Source organism: Homo sapiens, chromosome 19, assembly GCF_000001405.40.
Source record: "Homo sapiens chromosome 19, GRCh38.p14 Primary Assembly".
Lineage (NCBI taxonomy): Eukaryota > Metazoa > Chordata > Mammalia > Primates > Hominidae > Homo > Homo sapiens.
Genome location: NC_000019.10, coordinates 38205689 through 38231711, shown reverse-complemented (window position 1 = coordinate 38231711; position 26023 = coordinate 38205689). Strand labels below are relative to the sequence as shown.

Here is a 26023-nt window from a genome sequence, read left to right as displayed (position 1 = left end):
GGGGTTTCACCATGTTGGCCAGGCTGGTCTCAAACTCCTGACCTCAAGTGATCCACCCACCTTGGCCTCCCAAAGTGTTGGGATTACAGGCATGAGCCACTGTGCTCAGCACAGAGATATGCTTCAGATAGCCTGCTCTGGCTGTGTGGGGAGAGCAGACTTGAGGGGCAGGAGCCCAGTGATGAAGCTGCTACCATAGTCCAGGCAGCAGACAATGATGGACAGGACTGGGGTGCAGGCCATGAAGTGCAGAGAGTGGGTGGAATCTGGATATGTTTTGAATGTAGAGACAACAGAATTTGCCGATGGGCTTGGAGTGTGTGTGCGAAAAAGAAGAGGAGAAGGAGAGTTCAGGATGATTGATTGCACTTAGAACAAAATCCATTTTCTTTATAATGACCTACAAGGTACTACATGAGCCGGGTCCTTGCTCTCTCCCCAGGCTGTCTCCCCCTGCTCACTCTGCTCCAGTCACACTCAATTGCTTCCTGATCTTTGAACATGCCACACTTGTTCCCAGCCCAGGGCATTTGCACTTGGTGATCCTGTGCCTAGACATGCTTCTTAGTGCATGCTGGCAACTTCTAGACCTTAGCTCAAATGTCATCTCTTCAGAGAAGCCACTTCTTCACTCCTTCAAATCAATCTGTTTTCTTTTTTTAAAATTATCTTTTATTTGCTTCTTTTTTCTTTCTGGAATCTGTGTTCTGCTGAATCTATTTTATTTTCTTCTTTTCTTTCTTTTTCTTTCTTTCTCTTGCTTGCTTGCTTGCTTTCTTGCTTTTGACGGAGACTCTCTCTGTTGTCCAGGCTGGAGCTCACTACTGCCTCCAACTTTCAGGCTCAAGTGATCTTCTTGCCTCAGCCTCCTGAGTAGCTGAGACTCCAGACATGCATCACCACACCCAGATAATTTTTAAACTTTTTGCAGAGATGGGATCTCACTATGTTGCCCAGGCTGGTCTTGTGCTATGGGGCTCAAGCAATCCTCCTGCCTCAGGCTCCCAAAGTGCTGGGATTATAGGTGTGTGCCTGGACTCTTCTCTTTTTCTTTTTCTTTCTTTCTCTCTCTCTCTCTCTCTTTTTTTTTTTTTTTTTTTTGAGACAGGGTCTCGCTCTGTCACCCAGGCTGGAATGCAGTGGTACAATCTCGGCTCACTGCAATCTCTGCCTCCCAGGCTCAAGTGATCCTCCCACCTCAGCTTCCTGAGTAGCTGGGACTACAGGCATGCACCACCACACCCAGCTAATTTTTTGTATTTTGGGTAGAGACGGGGTTTCGCCATGTTGCCCATATTGGTCTTGAACTCCTAAGCTCAGATGATCCACCTGCCTTGGCCTCCCAAAGTGATGGGATTACAGGCCTCCCAAAGTGATGAGCAACCACGACTGGCCCCATTTTCTTTTCTTTATAGCACCTTTCACTGTCTGAAATGATTTTATCTATTTATTTTCTTATTATCTGTCTTTCTCCACTAGAATGTCAGCTCCTTGAGAGCGGCAACTTTGTTTTGGTCATTGCTGTATCCCCAGTGCCTAGAAGAGTTCCTGGAACACAGCAGGCACTCAGTAAATGAACAAAGGCACTGATTAACCCCTGTGCTTGTTCACAGGCTGTCCGACATAGAAGAGACACCCAAATAGGCCTAGACAAGAATACACGACAGACCCTAGGGTCATCCACATACCCTGGGGACATCTAGAAGCTAGGGACCACCTGCTTCCGCGCCCGCGGTGCCTGGAGGGTGGAGATCCCGAGTTGGAGACCGAGCACTCCCAGGGAGGGAGGAAAGATGCTCTGGGGGGAGCCCCGCCCCTCCCTGTATCCCCAGCAGCCAATGGGAGCGCGGTCCTCCTGACGCCCCCTGGGACGTGTAGTCCGGGCAGGGGCGCCCTCGGGCGCCGCCGCGCGCCCCTAGACTCCACGTCCCGTCGTGCGCTGGGAGGCGCGGGGATTGGCTGAGCCCCGCCCCCGGCCCGCCCCGCTCCGCTCGCGCCGCAGCCCCAAGAATGAATGAAATCGTAGCGCGCTGGGCGGCAGAGCGGGCGGCGCAGGCCGGGCTGGGCCCGCGCGCGGCGGCAGCGGCGCCCCGGGCCGGAGGCGGCCCAGCCGAGCGGGCCATGGCCACCGCCATTCAGAACCCGCTCAAGTCGTGAGTGTCCCTGCCGTCCCCGCCCCCTGTCCAGACCCCCCCACCAGGAGCCCTTCCCCCGCCCGCCCTGGGGCTGAGGAGGGGGACGCAGCGCGCGGACCGTAGTTGAATGGGGGCCCCCAGCGCGAACCCTTGCCCCGGGGGTCCCCACCCCCTGTCGCCCCCTGGGGTTGGGGGCGGGAGCCCCTCCAGGGTCGCGGGGGCGCCTCTTCTTTGTCGCTGTCAGTGAAGGAATGCGGCGCGGGCTGGGGGTGGCGGAGGCCGTTTCCCCACCCAGAGTGGGGGTAGGGGTTTCCCTCTCCTCCATCTCTCCCTCAGGGTCTCCGGAGGTGCCGGGCCTGCCCCGGCCGGGGCTGAAAGCTCGAACACCTAAGTCCGGACCTCGGTCTCCAGGGTTTCCATCACCCGCTCTCCGCTCATCAAAGCGCCTTTCTCTCTTTCCCCTTCTTTCTCTGAGGACCCCGGCCCTCGCGGCCGCAGGGTGGGAGCTGAGACGTCGGGGGTCCCCAGTTCCATCCCCGCTGCCTCCCCTTTTTCCTCCCGGGATCCCGGGAACTGGAAGCCCCGAACCCGCCGTCAGTCTGGACCGCGGCATCCCTCCCTCTCCCCGCGCATACACATCAAACGGGAGCATCTCTGATCCCTTTGGGGACCGGCTGCCCAGGAGGGGGTGCCGGGAGCGCCCTCGGTCTCCGGGGATTCCCTCCCTTTCTCCCTGGCCGCGGTCCTCCGAGCGTTCGCCTCTTCCCGGGCCCGGTGGCTGGGAATCCGGAAGCCTGGGTCCGAGCCTGGCCCCTCCTGACCCTCTCCTCTCCTTGCCATCCCTCGCGCTCTCCACACCTCCCCTTCCCCCTCTCCATCTCGCTCTTGCTTCCTCTTCGGGATCCCGGACTCCACGTCCCAGCGCTCCCCACCCCCCGTTCCCAGGCGGTGACAGCGGGCTCCAAGTGACAGGCACTCGGCCGCTCCCGCCCTCCCTCCCCGCAGGCGAGCGAGGCGCTCCCCTCCCCCTCCTCCCGGGCCTGGTGGAGGAGGCGGAGGGCGAGCGCCCGCGGCGTCGCACAAAGGGGCCGGGGCGACCTCCCCCACCCTTCCCCCAACCCCGTGCGCTGGCTGCCTTGACCTTGAACATCGAGGGCTGGGGGCGGGGGTGGGGGGTGGGGGGAGAGAGGGAGAGAGGGAGCGCCCCCCTACCCCACCCACGAGAAGGGATGCGCCTGCTGGCTGGACCAGAGGCCGCCAGTTGCTTCTGGTTTCTGGCGGGAATGGGGGTGGGAGGTGGAGGGTGGGAGTTGGGAGAGGAAGGGGGGCAGGGACTTAGAGGCAAGCGCCTACACGTGTGGCTTCGCCGTGAGCAGGGTGCCGGGAGCGGGTGTGTGGGGCTCGGGTCCGTGTGAGGTGGTGTATGATGGTGACACCCCTCTGCTGCCCTCTCACCCTAAGTGGCACACACAGACAGCTGTCTCTCCTGTGAGGGGACATCCGCAAAATGGCTGGGAACGGGGCTCTTGTGCAGGTTGGTGGATCTACAGGCGATGGGGCCCCTCACCCTGACCCTGGCCCAGACCCCTGGGAGGAGGTGTGCTACAGCCGTGAGCAGGGGCCCAGCTACAGTAAGCCTGGACTGGGAGGGCCCTACCCCTCTGTGCCCTTCCCTTCCAAAAGGTCTCTGTGGGGGTGAAGGTGGGGACTCCCTGGCTCCTGAAAGAATGTGAGTCAAATCCCCTGGGGAGAAGGAGCTGCAGGGTGCCGCCCTCGGAAGTTCCGACTGCCTGAGTTCCAAAACCAGCTTGAGCCACGAATGTTCCCTGCCGTGAGCCTCAGTTTTGCCATCTGTGTATGGGGGCTTCTAACAGCCCTTACCACCCGATGGGACTGTCGTGGGGCTAAGGCCATCTTTGTAAAGCAGTTAGCACAGAGACTGACACTGACCAAATGTAGTGATTATTATTAGTAGTATCAATATTGATTTATGAAATTGATTTCTACTGTGGGCCAGCTCCCACACAGGGCATTGGGGGATGGGGCAGGAGGATTGTTTGGGCCAGGGAGAGGACTGGGAGTTCAAGTGTGTAGGAGAGTATGTGGGAGTGGTGTGTGCAGGTGGTTAGGGCAGAAGGAAAGAAAGGAGAGCCCGCTGCAAGTGTCAGCCTGCGTCTGTGGGTAGATATCCTGCTGGTGGGCCGGGCATGGTGGCTTATGCCTGTAATCTCAGCACTTTGGGAGGGCAGGGTGGGCAGATCACTTGAGCTTAGGAGTTTGAGACTAGCCTGGCCAACACAGGGACACCCTGTTTTTACAAAAATACAAAAATTAGCCGGGTGCGGTGGCACAGGCCTGTAGTCCCAGCTACTTGGGGGTTTGAGGTGGGAGGATCGCTTGAGCCTGGGAGGTGGAGGCTGCAGCGAGCTGTGTTCATGCCATGGCACTCCAGCCTGGGCCATCGAGTGAGACGCTGTCCAAAAAAAAAAAAGAGAAAAAGAGAAAGAGGAAAGAAAGAGAAGAAAAGAAAGAAAGAAAGAAAGGAAGGAAGGAAGGAAGGAAGGAAGGAAGGAAGGAAGGAAGAGAAATAAAAGAAGAAAAGAAAAGAAAGAAAAATAGAAATTCTGCTGGTAGAGGAGGACTGTTAGGAAGGTCTGCACTCAGTGTCTACACTCGGGCTTCTCTTAATCAAATCGACATGAGAGTTTGGGGTGGGGCAGGAGTGAGTCTGCGTGTCTGAGGCTAGCGGTGTGGGAATCAAGTGTAAGAGGGTGTGTTACGGGACCTGTGAGCTAATGGGAGGTGAGAGAGGAAGGTGGGGTCACAGCTCACCGTGGGTAAGGTGTGAGGTGGCCACTATAGGGCCCTGGAGGCCAGAGTGATCGTAGGGGTGTCAGTGCCCCTCACTTAATCCCCTTGTCACCACTCCAGGCCATATGTGAATCAGAGACCTACCTCCTGTTCCAGGAGAGGGGCCGGCCAAGACCTTACCTGGCTTAGATGGGCGAGTTTGTGGAAAGGGTCTAAGACTAGAGGAGTGTGTGTGTGTGTGTGTGTGTGTGTGTGTGTGTGTAGAAGTGACCGTGAGTGTAGGAGGCCTTGACTGGATCTCTCTCTTGGGGGGATTTCAAGTGACAAAAATGGTGAAGGCTAGCGGGCCACTTCTGTCGGCTGGGGCGCCCCCTGGTGGATGAGGGCGTTTGTGGGCGTGTTAATTACAGCAGCCGCCCAAATTTGAATGCTGGCTCTACAGGGGTCCGGGTGGAAGAGGGGAAGGGGAAAGGGGGAGAAGGGGTGGGAAGGGGAAAGGGGGAGGAGGGGTGAGACGGGAGGGGGGACGGGGTGGTGGTGTTGCAGAGAGACTGGGTCAGTTTGTGACTCAGTGGGTCTGCTCACTCCCTGGGGATCTCTTCGGGTGGAGTCAGTGTGGGTGACAGTGGGAGAGAGAAGGAGGTCAGGACTACTTGGGGAGGGCCGTCAGGGGTGCCTGCCTCCTTCCTTCAGTCTTACCTTCAAAGAGCCGCCAGGGCATGCGGGCATGTGAGGTTACCTTCCTGTGCCTCAGATTCCTCACCTGGAAAATGCAGATAATAAAAGCATCCCGGGGTGAACTGTGCCCAGCACATGATGGGTGCATTTACTCATTCAACAAATATCTACTGAGCATCTATTTTTTTTTTTTTTTTTGGAGACAGGGTCTTGCTCAGTTGTCCAGGCTGGAGTGTAGTGGTGTGATCATAGCTCACTGCAGCTTCGATCTCCTGGGTTCAACCAATCCTCCTGACTCAGCCTCCTGAGTAGCTGGGACCATAGGCATGTGCCACCATGCCCAGCTATTTATTTTTTTTTTAGTAGAGACCAGGTCTCGCTATGTTGCCCAGGCTGTTCTCCTGAGCTCAAGCGGTCCTCTCATCTCAGCCTCCCAGATTGCTGGGATTACAGGCATGAGTCACGGCGCCCTGCTTACTTAGTTTTTTGTTTGTTTGTTTGTTTGTTTGTTTGCTTTTAGAGACAGAGTCTCGCTCTGCCACCCAGGCTGGAGTGCAGTGGTGAGACCACAGCTCACTGCAGCCTCAGCCTCCCAGGTTCAAGCTATCCTCCCACTTTAGCCTTGCAAGTAGCTGGGACTACACTGCTGCGCCATCATGCCCAGCTAATTTTAATTTTTTTTTGTAGACACAGGGGTCTGGATATGTTGCCCAGGTTGGTCTCAAACTCCTGGGCTCAAGCAGTGCTCTCATCTAGGCCTCCCGAAGTACTGGGATTGCAGACTGGAGCCATCGCACCTGGCCGCATTATTCTTTCTTTCTTATTATTTATTTATTTATTTTTGAGAGGGAGTCTCACTCTTGTTGCCCAGGCTGGAGTGCAATGGCACGATCTCAGCTCACTGCAACCTCCACCTCCTGAGTTCAAGTGATTCTCCTGCCTCAGCCTCCTGAGTGGGGGAGTATAAGCATGCGCCACCATGCCCGGCTAATTTTGTATTTTTAGTAGAGACTACTACCATGTTGGCCAGGCTGGTCTCGAACTCCCATCCTCAGGTGATCCACCTGCCTGGGCCTCCCAAAGTGCCGGGATTACAGGTGTGAGCCACTGCGCCTGGCCTGCCAGTCACCTCTTAAAATGCTTTACCTATATTTACTCATTTAATCCTCACAACACTCCAGTGAGGCATCATCCTCTTTTTACAGATGAGGAAACTGAGGCCCAGAAAGGTTAAGTCATTTGCCAAGGTCACATGGCCACCAAGTGGCAGAGCTAGGATTTGAACCCTGGAGGTGTGACTACTGTTTCTAACCTGCACTGCTGCTGTCAGGCCTGCAGAAGGCGTTGAGCAGGGCGGGGTGACCGTGAGCGTGGCTGCTGGGAGAGACAGCCCCGGGTGGGGTCTCTGGAGCCAGGAGGGACTTGGGTGGGGGGCGGTGAGGGGGTGTCTGCTGGAAGCATGTTGGTGAGAAGTCTGTGTGGGCACCTGGGAGGTGTCTCTGCGTCTCTTAGTATTGCAGTGTGTGTGCGTGTGGCTGTGTGAGTCCGTGCGAAGGTGTGTGAGTAGGAGTGTGTGGGAGGCTGTGAGTATCCGCGTGAATGTGTGTGTAAACTGCCATGCGTGGGCGTGTGCGAGTCCAGGTGTGCATGTGGTTGTGTGCACGCGAGAGCAGGATATGTGGACGAGTGAGGGCGGGTGAGTGACGGTGCGTGCCCCGGGCCCCTCCTCCGCGCCGTCCCGTCCCCGCGGGGTCCCGGGGGCCCCCTGGCCTGGGACTACCACTCCCAGCATGGCCCGGGCGGGCCCGCCCCGTCGCCGCGATTGGCCGTGGCCCTCGTGCTCCCGCCCCCCGGGAATGAATGGATGGGCGGCCTCAGCGCCCGCCCGACCGCTGGGAGGACCGACCCGGCGGGGACCTGCTGGGGGCAGGACCCGGGGAGCAAGATGGCCACTGTCATCCCTGGCCCCCTGAGGTGGTGCGGGCCGGCGGGAGGCGGAGAGGAAGCGCGGGCGGGTCTACGCGGGCCTGTGTGTGTGTGGCGACCGGGGGTGGGGCCGAAGGGGTGTCTGGGGGGCTGTCACCGAGTGCGGGGCTGCGCGGGGGTGCGAGAGTGTGTGACTGTGGGTCTCTGACAAGAATGGTGTCGGATGCACCGCTCCCTGGCGGGGTGGAGGGCGTGGGGGGCCTCCAGATTCTTTTTGGGGAAGGGAGACATCATCCCTTCCCTGCAACCCTCGGGTCTGGGAGAGACTGAAATGACCCGGGGGTGCGGGGGCCTTGGCAACTGGAGTGAAGTCCACACTACCTTTGTCTTGGGATGTGGAGTGTGTGTGTGTATCACTTATTTGTGTTCTGGTTTTTTTAAGAATTTTTGGGGGATAGGTGTGTGGACATGTGTCTGTTTCCTTTTATTCTGCACTAGATATCTTTGGATATTTGGGTCTCCCAGTGTGTGTCCGTGTCCTTTGGAACTATATGTCATTTGTCTTGTGTTCTGTGTTTTTGGGTATGTAGGGCTGCGTGTATTTGTGTGTAAATTTTTGTGTGACTATGGGTGGATTTGGCTGTTTCTGTGTTTTATATGTGTGTGTGTCTGTGTGGATGTGTGATATTTTAGATACTGGTTGCGCATCGTGCATCTTTGTAAATGTGTGTGTGTACCTGTGTGAATCTGTGTGATTTCTTTGTGTTGTGTGTCTGGATATTGTGTGTGTGGTTTGTGTTGTGTCTTTGGATACATGGGTAAGTGCCTAGGGGCGCAAGTGGTTTCTGTAGTTCCTGTCTTTTGACATGCTTGTGTCTTTGGATGCATGAGGGGGTGTATGTGTGTGTGGTGTGATGTTTCCATGTTGTGTGTCTTTGTGTGGGTGATGTGTTTCTGGTGTGTGTCTGTGGATATGTGATGTGTCTTTGTGCATGGTTATTTGTGTGATTTGTCTCCACACTATGGAACTTGGGATATTTGTCTTTTTCAGTAGATATTTATGTGTGCACGTGTGTGAGGTTTGTCTGTTTCTCCTTTGTGAGTATTGGGATTTGTCTCTCTTTGTGTGTGAATCCCGTGTGACTGTGTGTGATTTGTGTTGTGTGTCTGCATGTGTTCAGGTAGGGATACGTCCCGGTGTGTTTTTGTTTGTTTCTGTATCGTGTTTCTACTCATGAGCTGGGGGCCTGTTTGAGTCCCAGTTTGGGGGCCCCTGGGCCCTGTCCCCTTCCCCCAGCCTGGGTCCCGGAGTGGGAGGAGGGGAGAGGTGAGGCTGGAGGGGTCGGCCCACCCCTCCCGAGCCTGGGCGGCCCGGCAGCCGGGGAAGGGGTGCTGGGCGACCCTGTGCGCCTGCCCTTGCTGACAGCCGCCCGCCCGTTCGCCGCCCCTCTAGCCTAGGCGAGGACTTCTACCGCGAGGCCATCGAGCACTGCCGCAGTTACAACGCGCGCCTGTGCGCCGAGCGCAGCCTGCGACTGCCCTTCCTCGACTCGCAGACCGGCGTGGCCCAGAACAACTGCTACATCTGGATGGAGAAGACCCACCGCGGGCCGGGTACCGCCGGGAGGGCTGGCGCAGGGCGGGGCGGGGCCAGGCCGCCCCACCGCCGCCGCCCTCTCACCCCCCTCTCTCTCCAGGTTTGGCCCCGGGACAGATTTACACGTACCCCGCCCGCTGTTGGAGGAAGAAACGGAGACTCAACATCCTGGAGGACCCCAGACTCAGGCCCTGCGAGTACAAGATCGGTGGGTGCAGCCGCTGGGGCCCCCATCGGTGTCCCAGCGCCTGCTGTGTGTCCTAGCACTCGTCCATCACCTTTATCGCCTTCTAGCAAGTGTCTGCCTGGCTGGCTGTGTGTCTGTCTGCCCATGTGCGTCCCGGGTGTTTCCCAGAGATTCCACAGTTTCTCTGAGTCACTGAGTGGCGACTGCATCTCCTCCTACATGGGCCCAGGTGCCCAGTTGTTGTTATTTATTTATTTATTTATTTATTTATTTATTTTTGAGACAGAGTTTCACCCAGGCTGGCGTGCAATGGCGTGATCCCCCAACCTCCACCTAGCGGGGAGTTGAACCTTGAACCCGCAACTTCCGCCTAGCAGGTTCAAGCGATTCTGCCTCAGCCTTCCGAGTAGCTGGGATTACAGGCATGCGCCACCATGCCCGGCTGATTTTGTATTTTTAGTAGAAACGGGGTTTCACCATGTTGGTCAGGCTGGTCTGGAACTCCTGACCTCAGGTGATCTGGCCACCTCGGCCTCCCAAAGTGCTGGGATTACAGGTGTGAGCCACCGCGCCTGGCCTGTTGTTTTTTAAATAGAGGCAGGGTGTTACTATGTTGCCCAGTCTGGTCTTGAACTCCTGAGCTCAAGGGATCCTCCTGTCTCAGCCCTCCAAAGTGCAGGGATTATAGGCGTGAACCACCATGCCCCACCAAGGGTCCCAGTGGTATTGGAGGGCATAGTGATATCTGTTAGGTGTGTGTGGGTGTATGGAGTTGCTGACTGTGTCCCTTCCCCTGGGAACTGGGATGGATCAGTCTGCCTGTATTTTTTTTTTTTTTGAGATGGAGTCTGGCTCTGTCACCCAGGCTGGAGTACAGTGGCGCAATCTCAGCTCACTGCAACCTCCGCCTAGTGGGTTCAAGCGATTCTCCTGTCTCAGCCTCCTGAGTAGCTGGGATTACAGATGCACACTGACATGCCCGGCTAATTTTTTTGTATTTTTAGTAGAGACAGGGTTTCACCATGTTGGCCAGGCTGGTCTCGAACTCCTGACCTCAGGTGATCCACCTGCCTTGGCCTCCCAGAGTGCTGGGATTACAGGCTTGAGTCACCATGCCCGGCCATCTGCCTGTATTTTTTTCTGTGGGTGCCTGAGGGTGTCTGCCTCTGTATCTCCCCAAGGGCGTCTGGATGTCTCAGTGTCTGGTTGGAGCTCTTTCCTCTCTTAGGTGTATCTTCCCAGGTGTCTCCAAGTGTCTTAGAAGGCTTGTGTCTTGTGTATGTCTGGTCTGTCAGGGTGTCCGGCTCCTCCCGAGTGTGTCTGGGTGTGTTAGGCGGTGCGGCCGTCTCTTTCTGTGGGTGTGTGGGTGCCTCGGAGTGTCTGGGAGAATCTTCCTGATGGTGTCTGGCGTATCAGGTGTATTTCTGCACGTGTGTGCCAGTCCATCAGAGGATCTGGACTTACCCTTGAATGTGTTTAGGAATATCGGGATCCTCGGGGTCAGTTTCTCTTCCTGAGTCCGAGGGTCTGTGTGTACCCAGGAGCGTGGCAGTGCCCACCTGGCTGTGTCTCTTCCTGTCTGTCTCCTGTGTGTGTTTGTGTGTATCTAGCTGAGTGATTCTCCCTGAGTATGTCGGTATCTCCCCGCTATGTGTCCAAGCATCTCATCTGGCTGTGTCTTCCCCAGGGTCTAGGTGTATCTGGAGGGCTAATTGTTTCTTTCTTTTTTTCTTTTTTCTTTTTCTTTTTCTTTTTTTTTTTTGAGACGGAGTCTTGCTCTGTCGCCCAGGCTGGAGTGCAGTGGCGCGATCTCACTGCAAGCTCCGCCTCCTGGGTTCACGCCATTCTCCTGCCTCAGCCTCCCGAGTAGCTGGGACTACAGGCGCCTGCCACTACGCCCAGCTAATTTTTTGTATTTTTAGTAGAGACGGGGTTTCACCGTGTTAGCCAGGATGGTCTCGATCTCCTGACCTCATGATCTGCCCGCCTCGGCCTCCCAAAGTGCTGGGATTACAGGCGTGAGCCACCGCACCCGGCCTCTTTCTTTCTTTCTCTTTCTTTCTTTCTTTCTCTTTCTTTCTCTCTCTCTCTTTTTCTTTTCTTTCCTTCCTTCCTTTCTTTCTTTCTTTCCTTCCTTCTTTCTTTCTTTCTCTCTCTTTCTTTTTCTTTTCTTTCCCTCCTTCCTTCCTTCTTCCTTTCTTTTTTTTTTTCACCCAGTTTGGAGTGCAGTGGCACGATCTCGGCTCACTGCAACCTCCGCATCCCGGGTTCAAGTGATTCTCTGCCTCAACCTCCTGAGTAGCTGGGATTACAGGCATGTGCCCCTACACCCGGCTAATTTTTGTATTTTTTTTTTTTTAAGTAGAGATGAGGTTTTACCATGTTGGCCAGGCTGGTCTCAAACTCCTGACCTCAAGTGATCCACCCGCCTCAGCCTCCTAAAGTGTTGGGATTACAGGTGTGAGCCAACGCGCCTGGCCAGCTAATTGTCTCTGAGCATTTCTGAGTGTACCCATGGGTCCAGCTATGTCTCCTCCCTGTGTCTGGGTGTCTCCAAGGATCTGGCTATACCTCTTTGAGTCTCTAGGCTGTATCTGAGAGTGTGGCTTATGCCTGTAATTCCAGCACTTTGGAAGGCCGAGGCAGAGGATCGCTTGAACTCAGGAGTTTGAGACCAGCCTGATTAACACGATGAAACCCCATCTCTACCAAAAATACAAAAATTAGCCCAGTGTGGTAGCATGCCAGCTACTCTGCCTGTAGTCCCAGCTACTCAGGAGGCTGAGGTGGGAGGATCACTTGAGCCTGGGAGTCGCAGTGAGCTGAGATTGCGCCACTGCACTCCAACCTGGGTGACAGAGCGAGACCCTGTCTCAAAAAAAAAAGAAAAAAGACAGCATGGCTGGGCCTCTTCCTTCCCGCATCTGTCTCAGACGATCTGTCTGGATGTCCCCTGCGGGTGTCCCTGTGTCTCCTCTGCGAGTGTCTGGATCTGTCCATATTTGTCTGGGTATGTTTGAGAGTCGCTGTGTCTTCCCTGAGTAGGTCTGGGTGTGCCTGATGGCCTAACTGTGTCTTTTTCTGAGGCTTTCTGGTGTATCCAAAGTTCTGACCGTGTCTCCTGCTGTGCATCCCAGGGCATCTGAGGGCGTGACTGGGTCTCCCCAGAGTCTGGGCCTCCCTCCTAGGGCATGTGGTTAAATCCTTGCCTCTGCAGCCTCTTCCCTCCTGCAAAGAGCATGGTCCCCCCACCTGCATAGTTTGAGGAGTCCTCCGGGGTCAACTTCCCCATCTGACCCCCCCATGGCCCTGTCCCCAGACTGTGAAGCACCCCTGAAGAAGGAGGGTGGCCTCCCGGAAGGGCCGGTCCTCGAGGCTCTACTGTGTGCAGAGACGGGGGAGAAGAAGATTGAGCTGAAGGAGGAGGAGACCATTATGGACTGTCAGGTGGGCCCACCTCTGGGGGACCCCCGCTGCATGGCTTCGTCTCACCCCTGCCTGCCACCAGCCCGGGCCCTCACGTTCCTGCTCTGAAACCCCCCCGGTTTCTTCTGGCTGTTGGGCATCCCAGTCACCATCCTCCCAGACTTCATCTCTATTTGGAAGAACTCCTGACTTATACTCTCACCCCCAATCTCCACCTTTGCCCAGAGCCCCTCAAAAGCAGGTCAGTGGCCCCCACTTTCTTGACCCGTCTCCTTTCTCTATTGCCCAGAAACAGCAGTTGCTGGAGTTTCCGCATGACCTCGAGGTGGAAGACTTGGAGGATGACATTCCCAGGAGGAAGAACAGGGCCAAAGGAAAGGTATCACCCCAAGCTTCTCCTCTTCCCCGCTCCCCTCAATGACAGGTCTCATTCATGGAGCAGGTGCAGTGGTCCGCCCCTGCCACAGTCTGACCTCAGTCTGACCTCATTGAATCCCCAGAGCGGCCTGCAGGGGTGGGGGATTTTATACCCATTTTACAGATGAGGAAACTGAGGCTCATCTGTATTAAGCCATTTGCAAAGCAGAGATTATGCAGTGGGTTAGAGCTACCTTCATCCCCATGCCACAGAGGAAGAAGCTGAACCTTGGAGAGGTTCAAGGCCCCACAGCTAGGACATTTGTACAGCTGCAATTTGAATTTGCAAAAGACACTGTTTTCTCACTTTCTTTTTTCTTTTTTTTCTTTTTTTTGAGACGGAGTCTCGCTCTGTCACAGGCTAGAGTGCAGTGGCGCAATATCTGCTCACTGCAACCTCCGCCTCCCGGGTTCAAGCGATTCTCCTGCCTCAGCCTCCCGAGTAGCTGGGACTACAGGCACGCGCCACCATGCCCAGCTAATTTTTCTATTTTTAGTAGAGACGGGGCTTCACCATGTTGGCCAAGGTGGTCTCGATCTCTTGACCTCGTGATCCGCCTGCCTCGGCCTCCCAAAGTGCTGGGATTACAGGTGTGAGCCACCACGCCTGGCCTGTTTTCTCACTTTCTTGGCCCCTCACTCCTGACTCTCCCCACAGGCATATGGCATCGGGGGTCTCCGGAAACGCCAGGACACCGCTTCCCTGGAGGACCGAGACAAGCCGTATGTCTGTGATAGTGAGTCCTTCTGAAGAGGGGGAAAGGCAGAGAGAGGGGTGCCCAGAGACTCCCCACCTCGTGGCCCTCTCCCTCCCGTTCCAGACCCGGGTTGGGAGGCTGCTCAGGTCTCTGGCTGAGGGGGGAGGTGTGATCCTGGAGGCCAGGGTGGAGGCGGCAGGGGCCCGGAGGGGCTGACAGGCCCTCCTGGCTCGCTCGCTCCCCAGTCTGTGGGAAACGGTATAAGAACCGGCCGGGGCTCAGCTACCACTACACCCACACCCACCTGGCCGAGGAGGAGGGGGAGGAGAACGCCGAACGCCACGCCCTGCCCTTCCACCGGAAAAACAACCATAAACGTGAGCTGGCAGGCCAGGTGGGGGTGGCCAGGGGCCCTGGGAGTGGGGAAGAGGAGCCCAGCTGGGGGTGGGGGTGGGGGGGCATTAGACATTTCTGGAAAATCTCCAGCTCAGCCGTTCCCTCCCCCCACCGACCATGGGGATGCTGGCTCCGGGGTTGCCATGGCAACCAACCATCGCTCCTTCGCTCCTGGCCGGGCGTAATATTTCTGGGTCTGATTTATTGTTTCAATTAGAGCTTGGGGAGGGGGGGTGATAGATGGCTCCCCTCCCGCCCTGCCTTCCCTTTCTCCTTTCTCTGCTAAGCTTTGGTCAAGGGGCAGGGTCTGTGGCCTGGGAGCCCTTGGCTTCCGCCCTTGCCAATCCCATGCCAGTTCTGACAGCTGAAGGATGGGGGAGGGGAGGAGGGTTTGGGAGAGGCAGTAGGGAGACACTGTCTTCCCACCTATCTCTCAGAGGCAGAGGCTGAGTGTCTTCACCCCTGGCCACTACACACCCACGCACCTCAGTGTTCGGAGTTTTTCTTCCGAGTGTCTGTTTCCATACCAGATCTTGGCTGGGGTACTCGCTGAATTTGTTAGATACAAATTACTGAGGGTGCAGTTGGGAGTGGCTGGCTGGGAGACATGTATGTGAGAAGGGAGGCAGGGAGCCCTTCCTCAAGCTGTCTACCAAGTTTTGACCCAATAAAGAGGACATGTCAGTTGTCTCAAGGAGTTGGGAATCCTGGCTGGGTGCAGTGGCTCACGCTTATAATCCCGCCACTTTGTGGCAGTGGCCGAGGTGGGAGGATCACTGGAGGCCAGGAGTTGGAGACCAGCCTGGGCAACATACCAAGACCCTGCCTTTATTTTTAATTGAAAAAAAAATTTAAAAAGGCAGAGTTGGGAGTCCCGATGAGAACTGTTTTCACCTCTCCCCACAGCTTGGGGTAGCTACTCACTCTTCCCAGCTCCCCACGCCTGGACTAAGAGGTCCATCCTTGGGGCTGAGGCTGGGGGCAGGGTGGAGCCTTGCCTGTGGTGAGAGTCCCTCTCTCTGTCCCCCCTACCCCAGAGTTTTACAAAGAATTGGCCTGGGTCCCTGAGGCACAAAGGAAACACACAGGTACGGATGCCTCCTTCTGCTCCTAAAGTCTGCAGCCACCTTTGCGGGGTGCCCTTGCCTGCCCCGTGCCAATGCCTGTCTGCTGTCTTGCAGCCAAGAAGGCGCCCGACGGCACTGTCATCCCCAACGGCTACTGTGACTTCTGCCTGGGGGGCTCCAAGAAGACGGGGTGTCCCGAGGACCTCATCTCCTGTGCGGACTGTGGGCGATCAGGTGATGCTCCCCACCTGAGGTTTCTGGGGGCCGGGTGCAGAGGACATTCAGGAGTGCAGACCTGGAGGGAGGGAGGCAAGGCGGTGAGGACCGAGGGGACCCGGAGCATGTAGGGGATACTGTGGATAACCAGAGCTAGCGAGGCTGATGCAACTGCTGAGGATTGTGGGAATTGGGTCGGATCAGTGAGGCTTTAGGGATAATGGGATGTGGCTCTCATGGCACTGTGGGTAGCTGCCTGTGCTTAGCATGGCATCAAGAGTAGTGAGAGGCCAGGTGTGGTGGCTCACGCCTGTAATCCCAGCACTTTGGGAGGCAGAGGTGGGAGGATCACTTGAGGCCAGGAATTTGAGACCAGCCTGAGCAACATAGCAAGACCCCCATCTCTACAAAAAATTTAAAAATTATCCAGGTGTGTTGTTGTGCACCTGTAATCCCAGCAACTCAGGAGGCTGAGGCCGGAGGCTCCCTTGAGCCCAGGAGTTTGAGACCAGCCTGGGCAACATAGTGAGATCCCATCTATATATAAAAAAAGTTAGCTGGGCATGGTGTTGCACCCCATTAGCCCCAGCTACTCGGGAGGCTGAAGTGGGAGGCTCGCTTGAGCCCAGAAGGTTTTTGTTTTGTTTTGTTTTGTTTTGTTTTTTGAGACAGAGTCTCCCTCTGTCACCCAGGCTGGAGTGCATTGGCATGATCTTGGCTCACTGCAACCTCCGCCTCCTGGGTTCAAGTGATTCTTGTGCTTCAGCCTCCCGAGTAGCTAGGATTACAGGCACCCGCCACCATGCCTGGCTAATTTTTAATATTTTTAGTAGAGACGGGGGTTTCACCATGTTGGCCAGGCTGGTCTCAAACTCCTGACCTCAGGTGATCTGCCTGCCTTGACCTCCCAAAGTGCTGGGATTACAGGCGTGAGCCACCGCAGCACCCAGCCCCTTGAATCTGGGAGTTTTTGACTAGCCAGGGCAACATAATGAGAGCCCATCTATTAAAAAAAAAATAGGCCAGGCTGGGTGATGTGGCTCACATCTGTAATCCCAGCACTTTGGGAGGCTGGGGCGAGCAGATCATGAGGTCAAGAGATCAAGACCATCCTGGCCAACATGGTGAAACCCCATCTCTATAAAAATACAAAATTTAGCTGGGTGTGGTGGTGCGTGCCTGTAGTTCCAGCTACTCCGGAGGCTGAGGCAGGAGAATCGCTTGAACCCGGGGCTCAGAGGTTGCCATGAGCCAAGATTGCACCACTGCACTCCACCCTGGGTATCAGAGCAAGACTCCGTCTCAAAAAAAAAAAAAAAAAAAAAAGGCTGGGCATAGTTTCGCACCCCATTAGTCCCAGCTACTCGGGAGGCTGAGGTGGGAGGATCGCTGGAGCCTGGGAGGTCAAGGCTGCAGAGTGCACTGTGATGGTGCCACTATGCTGCAGCCTGGGCAACAGAGTGAGACCTTGTTTCAAAAACCAAAACAAGACAAAAGGAGTAGCAAGAGACAGGGGCCAAGGCATGGCAGGTAGTGGGCTGTGTGGTGTGAGTGACGGACACCACCACCTGGGCACCGGTAGCAGGATGAGCTCGCCATAGAGTTGTGGTTAACAGAATGTGGTTTCCCATGGTGGGCTTGTGGGCAATATAGACTCTGGTTGCCTCAGCACAGTAGGTCATGAATTGTGGTTGTCGTGGCATCATGGGTAGTGAAATATGGTTGTCATGGCAACTCAGTATAATGGAATGTAGTTGTGATGGCACCGGGGCCGTGGTTGCAGGGGGCGGGCGCCATGGGTCGTGGCTGCAGGTAGCGGCTGCGGGTGTCTCTGCAGCGGGGCTGTGGAATGACTAAGCCTGGCGCTGCACAGTGCTGTGATGTGAGTAACAGTTTTGTTGCTGGGGCACCAAGTGGAATGGACTTCAGTTGCATGAAACCGAAGTGTGGGGACCCCGTTGTGGAAGGTGGTTGCCATGGCATTGTGGCTGGGAGAGTGTGGTTGCCACGTTGCTGTGGTTAACAGGACCCCTGGCCGTTCTGCTGTGGGTAATGGAAAGTGGCTGTCTCAGCACGGTGGTTAACAGAATGTGGTTGCCACGGTGTTGTGGGTGGTAGAAAGTGGTTGGCACAGCACTGTGGGTAATGGAATGCGGTTGCCATGGCGTTCTGGGGAGCAGAGTGTGGTTGCCATGGTGGTTGTGGTAGGAGACTGTGGTGGCCGGGGGACTGCTGCCGGCCACGTGGTTGCTGGGCAGGTGTGGGGTCAGGCTGTGGATCCCGGCAGCTCATCCTGGCGTCATGAGCCAGGGGTAGGGGCTGAGCTATGGCTCCCCTGCCGGTCAGTGCCCACCAGGGGCACGGTGACCTCCTAACTGCACCCCTGCCCCTTGGCCCCCAGGACACCCCTCGTGTTTACAATTCACGGTGAACATGACGGCAGCCGTGCGGACCTACCGCTGGCAGTGCATCGAGTGCAAATCCTGCAGCCTGTGCGGAACCTCCGAGAACGACGTGAGTGCCGCCCGCCCCCCGCGTGCCCTGCTGCCCGCCCCGCCTGGCACGTCCACCTCTGCCCCTTAAGCCTAAAGCCTGTGCCTGAGCCTTCCCTGGTGAACACCAGTCCCCTGTGTTATCATTATGCCGGTGTCCATAAATCGAACCTGGCCCTTTTTCCTCTTCATCTCTCTGGATCCTCCCAACCACCCTCTGAAGCAGGTGGTCTTGTTTCCACTTCACAGGGAAGAAACTGAGCTCAGAGAGGGAAAGAGACCTGCCCAGGGTCAGCCAGCTAGGGAAATGGCAGAGCTGAGATTTAAAGCCATGACCACTGCTGGCAGAGCTGGTATCAGATCATCTTAGGGTTGTTTAAAGCCTTCCACAGGCGGAGCGCGGTGGCTCACGCCTGGAATCCCAGCACTCTGGGAGGCTGAGGTGGGTGGACCACCTGAGATCAGGAGTTTGAGACCAGCCTGGCCAACGTGGTGAAACCCCATCTCTACAAAAATACAGAAATTAGCTGGGTGCCTGTAATCCCAGCTACTCGGGAGGCTGAGGCAGGAGAATGGCTTGAGCCCAGGAGGTGGAGATTGCAGTGAGCCGAGATGGCGCCACTGCACACTCCAGCCTGGGTGACAGAGCGAGATTCCGTCTCAAAAAAAAAAAAAACAAACAAAAACAAAAGCCATGACCGTTTCTGGCAGAGCTGCTATCAGATCATCTTGGTGTCATTTAAACTTCCCACAGACCGGGAGCGGTGGCCCACCTGTGTAATCCCAGCACTTTGGGAGGCTGAGGAATTTTGAGCCCAGGAGTTCTAGACCAGACCAGCCTGGGCAACATAGTGAGACTCCCGTCTCAAAAAAAAAAAAAAAAAAAAAAAAGTCGTGCATGGTGGCGCACACCTGTAGTCCCAGCTCAGGAGACTGAGGCAGGAGAATCACTTGAGCCCCAAGGAGTGTGAGGCTGCAGTGAGCTGTGACTGCACCACCGCACTTCCAGCCTGGGCAACAGGGTAGGACCCTGTCTCTAAAAATATAAAATAATAATAATAATAAGCCTTCCACAGAGCCTTATAAAACCCCCACTATAAATCGCAAAGGGACTGTCCTGAGGGATATGTGTTTGGCTAAGCAGTGTTGCGCACACATTTCCTGCTGCAAAGACCTTCTCAGAACCTTTCTCGGAAGGCCTCACCTCCCCCAGCCCCCTTGACCTAGCCCCTGCCCCAGCCCCCCACCCCCGTTTCTGGTGCCCGTGCCCCCAGGGTGCCAGCTGGGCGGGTCTCACCCCCCAGGACCAGCTGCTGTTTTGTGATGACTGCGATCGGGGTTACCACATGTACTGCCTGAGTCCCCCCATGGCGGAGCCCCCGGAAGGTGAGAGGAGAGGTGGGCATCCCATGGGGCGGGTGGGTGGGAACGCCATCTCCTGGTTGTGGAAGACTGTGTGTCCTCGGGGTGGGAAGGGGCTGGGGCAGCCCTCCCGGACCCGGGCCTGACTTCAGCTTCGGCTGCCCCCGCAGGGAGCTGGAGCTGTCACCTCTGTCTCCGGCACCTGAAGGAAAAGGCTTCTGCTTACATCACCCTCACCTAGGCCGGCTCGGCTCGCCGCGACTCTGGGGTGGTGCTCGCCTACCTGCCTCTCCGAGCTCCTCAATTCTCCCCCACCCTGAACATCCCGCAGGGGGAGGGGGAGAGGGGGAAGCCGAGAGGGGGCTGGGCCACCCCCTCCCCTCTGTGCAAGTGGAATGTCTGCCCTGTGGGTGGGTGGGCCCGGCCAGGGCCTCTCCCTCCCTCCCTCCCTCTCTGTCCCTTGGCAAATGGACACCAGGGGCTTCTCCCCTCAAAGCCATACCCCGCCTCTGGGCGGGCATGGGGGGTGGTGGGTGCCAGCCAGGGGCATGGACAGAGCCTTTTTCTAAAGAAAAAGACAAAAAGTTAAAAAAAAAAAAAAGAAGAAAAGAAAAGAAGTTAATATATACAAAGAGTCCTCCAAGGCCTGGCTGGGTGGAGGGGCGCTGCTGAGAGTGTCCACCGGGCACCCGCCTCTGCCGGCCCCCCGCCGGGCGCCCCAACCCCAATTTCTGGAGCTGCAGCCGTCCCGCGCCCCACCCAAGGTGGGCGCCTTCCCCTCTTGTGCCCAGGGCGGTGGGCGTGGTGTCCACCCGCCCCTCCTGGTGCCCACGGTGGATACTGCATGATGTGAACCTTGGTTTTGAACTCTGTTCCTGCCCCTCCCCGACCGCCCCAGCCTGTGCCCGCCCCGTGCCTGCCGTGGCTGGTGGGTGGCGGTGGTGGGGCCGGGTGGGCCCCCGCCCAGCGCCTGCTGGAATGAGAAGCACAGACTCCGCCACGGACTCCTTTTCTCTCCCTCCTCCCGCCCCGCCAGGCCTGGCGGCCCCCGCCCCCCTCGCTGGCCATTTTGGGGGAGTGAGGGGGCGTGGTTGTTTCTTGTGGTTGTGTGTGTTTGTTGTTCGGGTTTTAAAAAAGGGAAACTGAGACTGCAGGTGGGGGAGGTGGTGGGTTTTGGGGGGATGTCCCCTAATCCAGGAGTGCCCCCTCACTTGTCACCGAGTCTCCTCTATTGCCTGCCTCTGCTGTGAATTAACTTGTTCTGTGTATTAAACTGGGCCTGACCCCTCTGCCCACGACTGCCTCGTTCTCCCGTCTGGTTTGGGGCATCACCAAGAAGGAGGACCGGGGGTCGACGGGCCTTGTTGGGGGTGAGGCGACCAGCCAGCCCCTACCTCCATCCACCTCCTTCTTCCCCTGCCTGCACCCTGCCTCTCCCCGGCTTTGTCCCAGCTCCGCCCTGCTTTGCCAGAAAGGAGGAGAAGGGGGATGGGGTGGAGGGGCTCCCGCCCAGCCAGCTGTGGTTGCCCTGGCAACGGGCTGCTGCAGCTGCAGCGGGCGCAGCCGGGAGGGAGGCGGGAGCCGGGCCGGGGGAAGGGAAGGGCTGGGAAGAGGACGGTGGGTTGGCCCCTCCTGAGGCTGGGGTGGGGAACGGGGGTGTCAGGAGGTGTCATCCCAGACCCAGACATCTCCAGGGGGCTCCGTGTCCTGGATGTGGGGCAAATCAGCGGTGGCGATAAGGTGGAAAGAGAGGCGCTAAGGGAGGGCAGGAGGGTATCTAGACACGGGCACTGGGAGAGAGACTGAGATGTGGGCGACGGGTGGGGGGCGGGAGTGAGGAGTGAGGGAACTAGGACACAGATCAGGAGAGAGAAAGAGACGAGGACAGTCACACAGTTATTGAGAGAATCAGAAAAAAGAGCAAGAGGGTGCAGAAGGGAGAGAGACAGGAGGAAGGACCAGGAGAGAGGAAGGGAGCAGGGGTGAGAAGGAGGTTTAACGGCAGAGAGGGAATAACTAATAAAAAATAGCTGACATGCTGGGAGAGACGGGAGGAGGAGAAGGAGGACGGTGATTGGGGAAGAGCAGCAGCAGATTTAGGGAGAGGTCCTCCAAGAGGGGAGGCAGAGAAGGAGGTAACATCTATCAGGAGAGGGAAGAGTGAGAGGGAGCCACATTGCGGGTGGAGAGAGAGAGACTTGGGATCAGGGGCAGGCAAAGTCCCAGGACAACAGGCAGAGATGGGGAGAGACGCGGGCGGCAGGGGAGAGAAGGAGACAGACTTTAGGGGAACAGCAGAACAATCTGCAGAGAGAGCCGGAGGTATGAGGGACCCAGAAAGATTGGGGAGGAGAGACAGGGATGTCCGAGACGGGCAGAGGAAGCTGGAAACTGGGACACGAAGGGAAGGGCCGGGCCTCAAAGCACAGTTTGGGCGCGACCAGGGGCTGGCGTGCGCGCGAGTTGTGGGGTGCTGGAAGCAGCTGGCGTGGCTCCGGCGCCAGGAGAGGATGTGAGAACAGCCTGTTCCCAGGCTTCCCGCCCCCTTCGCCCGGTGGCGGGGGGAGGGCAGTGCGGGTTGAGGACGGGGCCTCGAGGAGGAGGAGGGCGGAGACAGGGAGGGTGTCTAGAACTCCAGAATTTTTAGGAGATGTGGGAATGGCTGGTCCTGCTCCTCCGGATGCCAGCCCCACGCCTTTTGGAAAAAGACATTTTTTGGAGGGGGCAGGGTCTGAGTCAGAGAAGCACTGGGTTTTAGCTCAGAGATGTGAAACTCCACGACAGGTACATGGGTAAGGGAGGCAGAAAGACCCCACCTGGCCAGCCCCGTCAGGAGGCTAGGCTTCCCTCAAGGGGCTGGACTTCGGGATTTTCAGGAGGAATTTCCTGATTCAGAAACCAGTTTGATCCCGGTTCCCAAAATGCAAATGTTCACCAGGCCAGATGCAGATCTGGGGCGATCAGGGGCTGCTTTCTACCCCCAAAGCATTCACTTGGCAAGTGGCAGCAGGGGTCTGCTCCCACCTCTACAGACAGAAGGGGGAAGAGTGTCCCAAATGCAGCCATGTGGCCAGGGCCAAAGGAGGCAGGGGCCCCTTGTGAGTCTTGCAGCAAAGGACAGATCAACCAAGCTGGAAACCTGGCCTTCCTCATGTGCAATATCCATTAAAAAAAAAAGTTAAGCTGGGCGCGGTGGCTCACACTTGTAATGCAGCACTTTGGGAGGCCGAGGTGGGCAGATCAGTTGAGGTCAGGAGTTCGAGACCAGCCTGGCCAACATGGTGAAATCTCGTCTCTACAAAAACACAAAAATTAGCCGGGTCCCCGTAATTCCAGCTACTCGGGAAGCTAAGGCAGGAGAATCACTTGAACCTAGGACGTGGAGGTTGCAGTGAGCTGAGATTGCACCACTGCACTCCAGCCTGGGTGACAGAGTTTCTGTTTCGAAAAAAAGTTAAAAAAAAAAAAAAAAAGGTTTTTTTAGAGGTAGGATCTTGCTATGTTGTCCAGGCTGGTTTTGAATTCCTAGGCTCAAGCAATCCTCCTGCCTCAGCCTCTCAAAAAGTGCTGGGATTACAGGCATGAGCCACTGCACCTGGCTGAATGTCCAGATTAAAAGTTGGCCACTATTTCTAAGACCCAACACAACCCTCTGGGCTGGGGCTGGCCTTCAGGCCTCCAGTATATGACCTCTGAGGCAGAATCTCACTCTTTTGAACTTAAGGACATTTCACATTCTGAGTGTTGGATTTCTGTCCTTTGGATTCCAAGGAAAAGAAGTTAGCAAGGCAGGTGCCCCTGGTTCTTAGGACATGTGTGTGGTGGTCATGGTGTGGGGGATTTGGGGACAGGAGCAGGAGGAGGGGCCGATGCTGGACCACACCCTCTGGTCAGCAACTCCAGGCAGCTGCCCCAAAAGTGAACACACAAGCCATTTCTATGAAACCTTTATTTCCTTTGAAACCTCCAGAAACATGCCAGAAAATCTCAAGACAGGGATGGGGAAAAAAAAAAGACAATAAAGAATAATAAAAAAAAAATCCAAATGAAACAAATCAACATATGAAAAAAAAAACCTGCTGCTATCTTCGGCCATTGGATAGAACATCAACCTCAAATTAAATAGATCTGTTTTTGCAGAAATCCTTAAAAAATAACAGAAAACAAAACCAAAAATCATAATTTACACTTGTCCATGTACATGATTAAGTCCCCAAAATGATTCGAATGATCTGAAGATGGGAGGAGACAACTGAAAAAAAAAAAAAAAAAGGGACCCGATGAGGGTCTAAGGGGTGGGGGTGGGGGACGGGTGGGCCCCCCAGAGAAGGGGATGGGGGAGAAGATGGCATCACAGTAGCTGGCCAGGGCTGAGGACGCTGCCTGGGGCACGCCCACCTCACTCTTGGTGTTGGGGGTGAGGGTGGGGGCAGGGGCAGCGCTGAGGTTTCCTCCTCCAGGGGGCCAGAGGCTGATCACAGGAGACGCGATAAGAACCCTCTTCTCTCACCCCCACCCATCCACACCGGCACCTCCGAGTGCCTGCGTCCTATGCAGTCCCCAGAGCCCCCTCCTCTGAGGTTCCTGACCCCAGAGAGAAGGCAGCAGAGGTCCCTGGACAAGGGCCGGGTTGCCTGGTGCTGGCTCACAGCCAGACCTGCTCCGCCAACTCCTCCCCGCCTGGTGCCTCCCAAAAAGGGCACCGGCCTGCCCTGACTTCATCCCTCTGGTCCTCCCACTGACCCCCAGCCCACAGGGGACACGCCTTGGTCCTCAGCTTGAGGTTGGGGGGATGAATCCACAGACTGTGGCCATACAGGCTTGTTCTGGCGCCAACTCTACATGAAAAAATAAATATATATATATATATATATATATCTTTTTCTGTTTGCTTTTAAAGAAGGAAAAAAAGAAACGGTTTCCTGGAGGAACAGCGTGGTACCACACCGGCATGGCCGCCCCTTATTGCCTTTAGAGAACCAGCGTCCAGTGGGGTTCGCGGGGTGCAGTGCTCCCCGGGGAGCATGGTGAGGGGGTCTGGTGGCCGCTGCTCGGAGAGATGGGCTGGGAGACTTGCAAAGGAAAAAAAAACCAGAGGAGGAGATGAAGGCTGTTCTCCTCCAGCCCTGTCCTGAGGGCTTCGGGAGCCCCTCCTGGAACCCAGAAGAGGCCGAGGCTGCTGGTCAGGGCCAGGTCGTGCCGGGAGGAGGAGGAGAGAGTCGGCTGTGTGGTGGCTCCACCGCCCCGGCCTGGCCTGGTTAGCTGGAAGGTGGAGGGGCCTGTGGACCCCTAGCCCAGGTGCAGTGGCCTCTGGCGGAAGAGGAGCTGATAGAAAAAGATCGTATAAACCGTCCTGGAGATCCAAATAGAGTTTCTCTCTCAAATAAATCGGCTCTGGAGGCTAGCCTTGCCTCTCTCTATCCTCAGGCCCCCAAGAAAATAATTTAAACTCTAAGAAAGTGCTCCTGGCTGCTTTTTGGGAGGAGGGGGTTAGGGAGGGGATCATGTTCGTGCTTTTTGGAGCTCACGTGCTAGGGACCGAGGCGCCCTGGTCTGTGTCCACGCGGGCCTCACCTCTCTGGGTGTGGGGAAGAAAGGGTTGCTTTCACGCTGTACTTTTCATGCAGGGGCCTCGGCCCCACAAGCCGCAACTTTGTTGTGCGTGGTGCAGAAACCTGCTGTGTGACCTCCTGGAGCCGAGGCGTCTGGAGACTGGCTCCTCTCTCCGTCCCCATCAGCTTCGAAGGGCTGGTCCCAGGAAGAGGCTAGATGGGGACAGCGGGGCAGGCCCGGGAGCGGTGTAAGCACAGCCCAGCTCACCGGGACCACAGCTGGGCAGCTTGGAGGGAGGCCTGAGACCACTTCGCCCTCTGGGGCATGAGGGCTGTGCGCGCTGACCCTGACTCACAGCCCTAGTGAGGCCATCGGAGTTTCCGTGTCCATGGGGAGGGCCCTGGATGGGTCATCTTGGTCACACCGGCAGCTGGGAGCTGAGTGGAGGGAGAGAGGCAGCAGGGCCACGGCCTGAGGGGAAGGAGCGAAGGCGGGCGGCGGCCTCCCACCTCAGAGCTCCTTCTTCTCCCTGCAGAAGATCTCCGCAAACTTGCGCAGCTGCTCGCTGGCGGCCTGCGACTCCTCCTGCAGCCGCTGGTTGTTCTGCCGCAGGCTGGCCACCTCTGACTGGAGCACCACCTTGTCCTGCTTCTCCTGCACAGGGTGGGAAGCTGGCATCAGGCGGGTGGGCTTGGCCGCTCCTGGAACAGCCGATGGCTCCCTGAGGCCTGTGAGCCCTGGCCCGGCTGTGCTTTGGAGCCAACCACTAGAGCCAGGCCAGGCCGGGGCACACATCCCACTCTGCCTCTCCACAACCGAGGGACCCTGGGCAAGTCACTTGGTTCCCGCAACTCTACCAGGAGGCTGAGGGGTGTCTGGAGCTCATCTATGTAGAGCTCCCGGAACGCAACCACATGTGGAGTCATCGCTTGACAAACATCACTATTGTCACCGCATCCCACCTTCACACTACCCGAGGACTTGGGGACTGTCGCTGTCCCTAGTTTCCTGGAAGAGGACCCCAGCCTCACACAGCAAGTGGGGAGCTGGGACATGGATGCA

General features: G+C 56.7%; 2 protein-coding genes across 27 annotated transcripts in view, besides 6 other annotated features; one reads left to right on the top strand and one right to left on the bottom strand.

Moving 5' to 3' along the window:
• Positions 1733 to 2112: a silencer, noted in NCBI's record as "silent region_10564". NCBI's record gives its function as "represses an Ori minimal core promoter by ATAC-STARR-seq in GM12878 lymphoblastoid cells {active_cell/tissue: GM12878}" and the evidence as "EXISTENCE:reporter gene assay evidence [ECO:0000049][PMID:35858748]".
• On the top strand, positions 2017 to 20706 carry DPF1 (double PHD fingers 1). Of its 20 annotated transcripts, none has more exons than NM_001135156.3 (12): positions 2017 to 2153; positions 9009 to 9164; positions 9248 to 9355; positions 12654 to 12781; positions 13050 to 13139; positions 13836 to 13914; positions 14121 to 14252; positions 15309 to 15359; positions 15453 to 15572; positions 17956 to 18068; positions 19351 to 19432; positions 19579 to 20706. In NM_001135156.3, exons 2-12 carry the CDS (start codon positions 9140 to 9142, stop codon positions 19647 to 19649), a joined length of 999 nt encoding a protein of 332 aa, NP_001128628.1. In that variant the 5' UTR covers positions 2017 to 2153; positions 9009 to 9139; the 3' UTR covers positions 19650 to 20706. The 20 variants fall into 20 exon arrangements, with proteins under 20 accessions (NP_001128628.1, XP_024307499.1, XP_006723471.1 ...); XM_024451731.2 differs by having other exon boundaries at positions 9004 to 9164; positions 13056 to 13139; XM_006723408.4 differs by having other exon boundaries at positions 9004 to 9164; positions 13056 to 13139; positions 19321 to 19432.
• Positions 3463 to 4233: an enhancer, noted in NCBI's record as "H3K4me1 hESC enhancer chr19:38718119-38718889 (GRCh37/hg19 assembly coordinates)". NCBI's record gives its function as "activates a minimal SCP1, AML or CMV promoter by ChIP-STARR-seq in naive H9 embryonic stem cells {active_cell/tissue: H9 hESC(naive)}" and the evidence as "EXISTENCE:reporter gene assay evidence [ECO:0000049][PMID:30033119]".
• Positions 7156 to 7725: a silencer, noted in NCBI's record as "silent region_10563". NCBI's record gives its function as "represses an Ori minimal core promoter by ATAC-STARR-seq in GM12878 lymphoblastoid cells {active_cell/tissue: GM12878}" and the evidence as "EXISTENCE:reporter gene assay evidence [ECO:0000049][PMID:35858748]".
• Positions 12258 to 12757: an enhancer, noted in NCBI's record as "H3K4me1 hESC enhancer chr19:38709595-38710094 (GRCh37/hg19 assembly coordinates)". NCBI's record gives its function as "activates a minimal SCP1, AML or CMV promoter by ChIP-STARR-seq in naive H9 embryonic stem cells {active_cell/tissue: H9 hESC(naive)}" and the evidence as "EXISTENCE:reporter gene assay evidence [ECO:0000049][PMID:30033119]".
• Positions 13365 to 14564: an enhancer, noted in NCBI's record as "CDK7 strongly-dependent group 2 enhancer chr19:38707788-38708987 (GRCh37/hg19 assembly coordinates)". NCBI's record gives its function as "activates an origin of replication core promoter dependent on BRD2, BRD4, P300/CBP, MED14 and CDK7 cofactors, with strong dependence on CDK7, by STARR-seq in HCT116 cells {active_cell/tissue: HCT116}" and the evidence as "EXISTENCE:reporter gene assay evidence [ECO:0000049][PMID:35650434]".
• Positions 21116 to 22099: an enhancer, noted in NCBI's record as "H3K27ac-H3K4me1 hESC enhancer chr19:38700253-38701236 (GRCh37/hg19 assembly coordinates)". NCBI's record gives its function as "activates a minimal SCP1, AML or CMV promoter by ChIP-STARR-seq in primed H9 embryonic stem cells {active_cell/tissue: H9 hESC(primed)}" and the evidence as "EXISTENCE:reporter gene assay evidence [ECO:0000049][PMID:30033119]".
• The window catches only part of SIPA1L3 (signal induced proliferation associated 1 like 3), a 301162-nt gene continuing 298481 nt past the window's right edge, over positions 23343 to 26023 (bottom strand). For all 7 annotated transcript variants that reach the window (XM_047438486.1, NM_015073.3, XM_017026518.3 and 4 more), the window contains one exon: positions 23343 to 25615. In XM_047438486.1, the coding sequence (XP_047294442.1) occupies positions 25472 to 25615 (144 nt within the window). In that variant the 3' untranslated portion in view covers positions 23343 to 25471. The remainder of the gene's footprint in view (positions 25616 to 26023) is intronic.

Bases quoted from the DNA above. Each gene is read 5' to 3' on its own strand.
- DPF1 (XM_006723407.3), top strand. From the start codon at position 2,122: ATGGCCACCGCCATTCAGAACCCGCTCAAGTC. The intron at 13,140-13,835 runs GTATCACCCCAA...CTCTCCCCACAG, and splicing joins AGAACAGGGCCAAAGGAAAG to GCATATGGCATCGGGGGTCT. The intron at 13,915-14,120 runs GTGAGTCCTTCT...CTCGCTCCCCAG, and splicing joins CAAGCCGTATGTCTGTGATA to TCTGTGGGAAACGGTATAAG.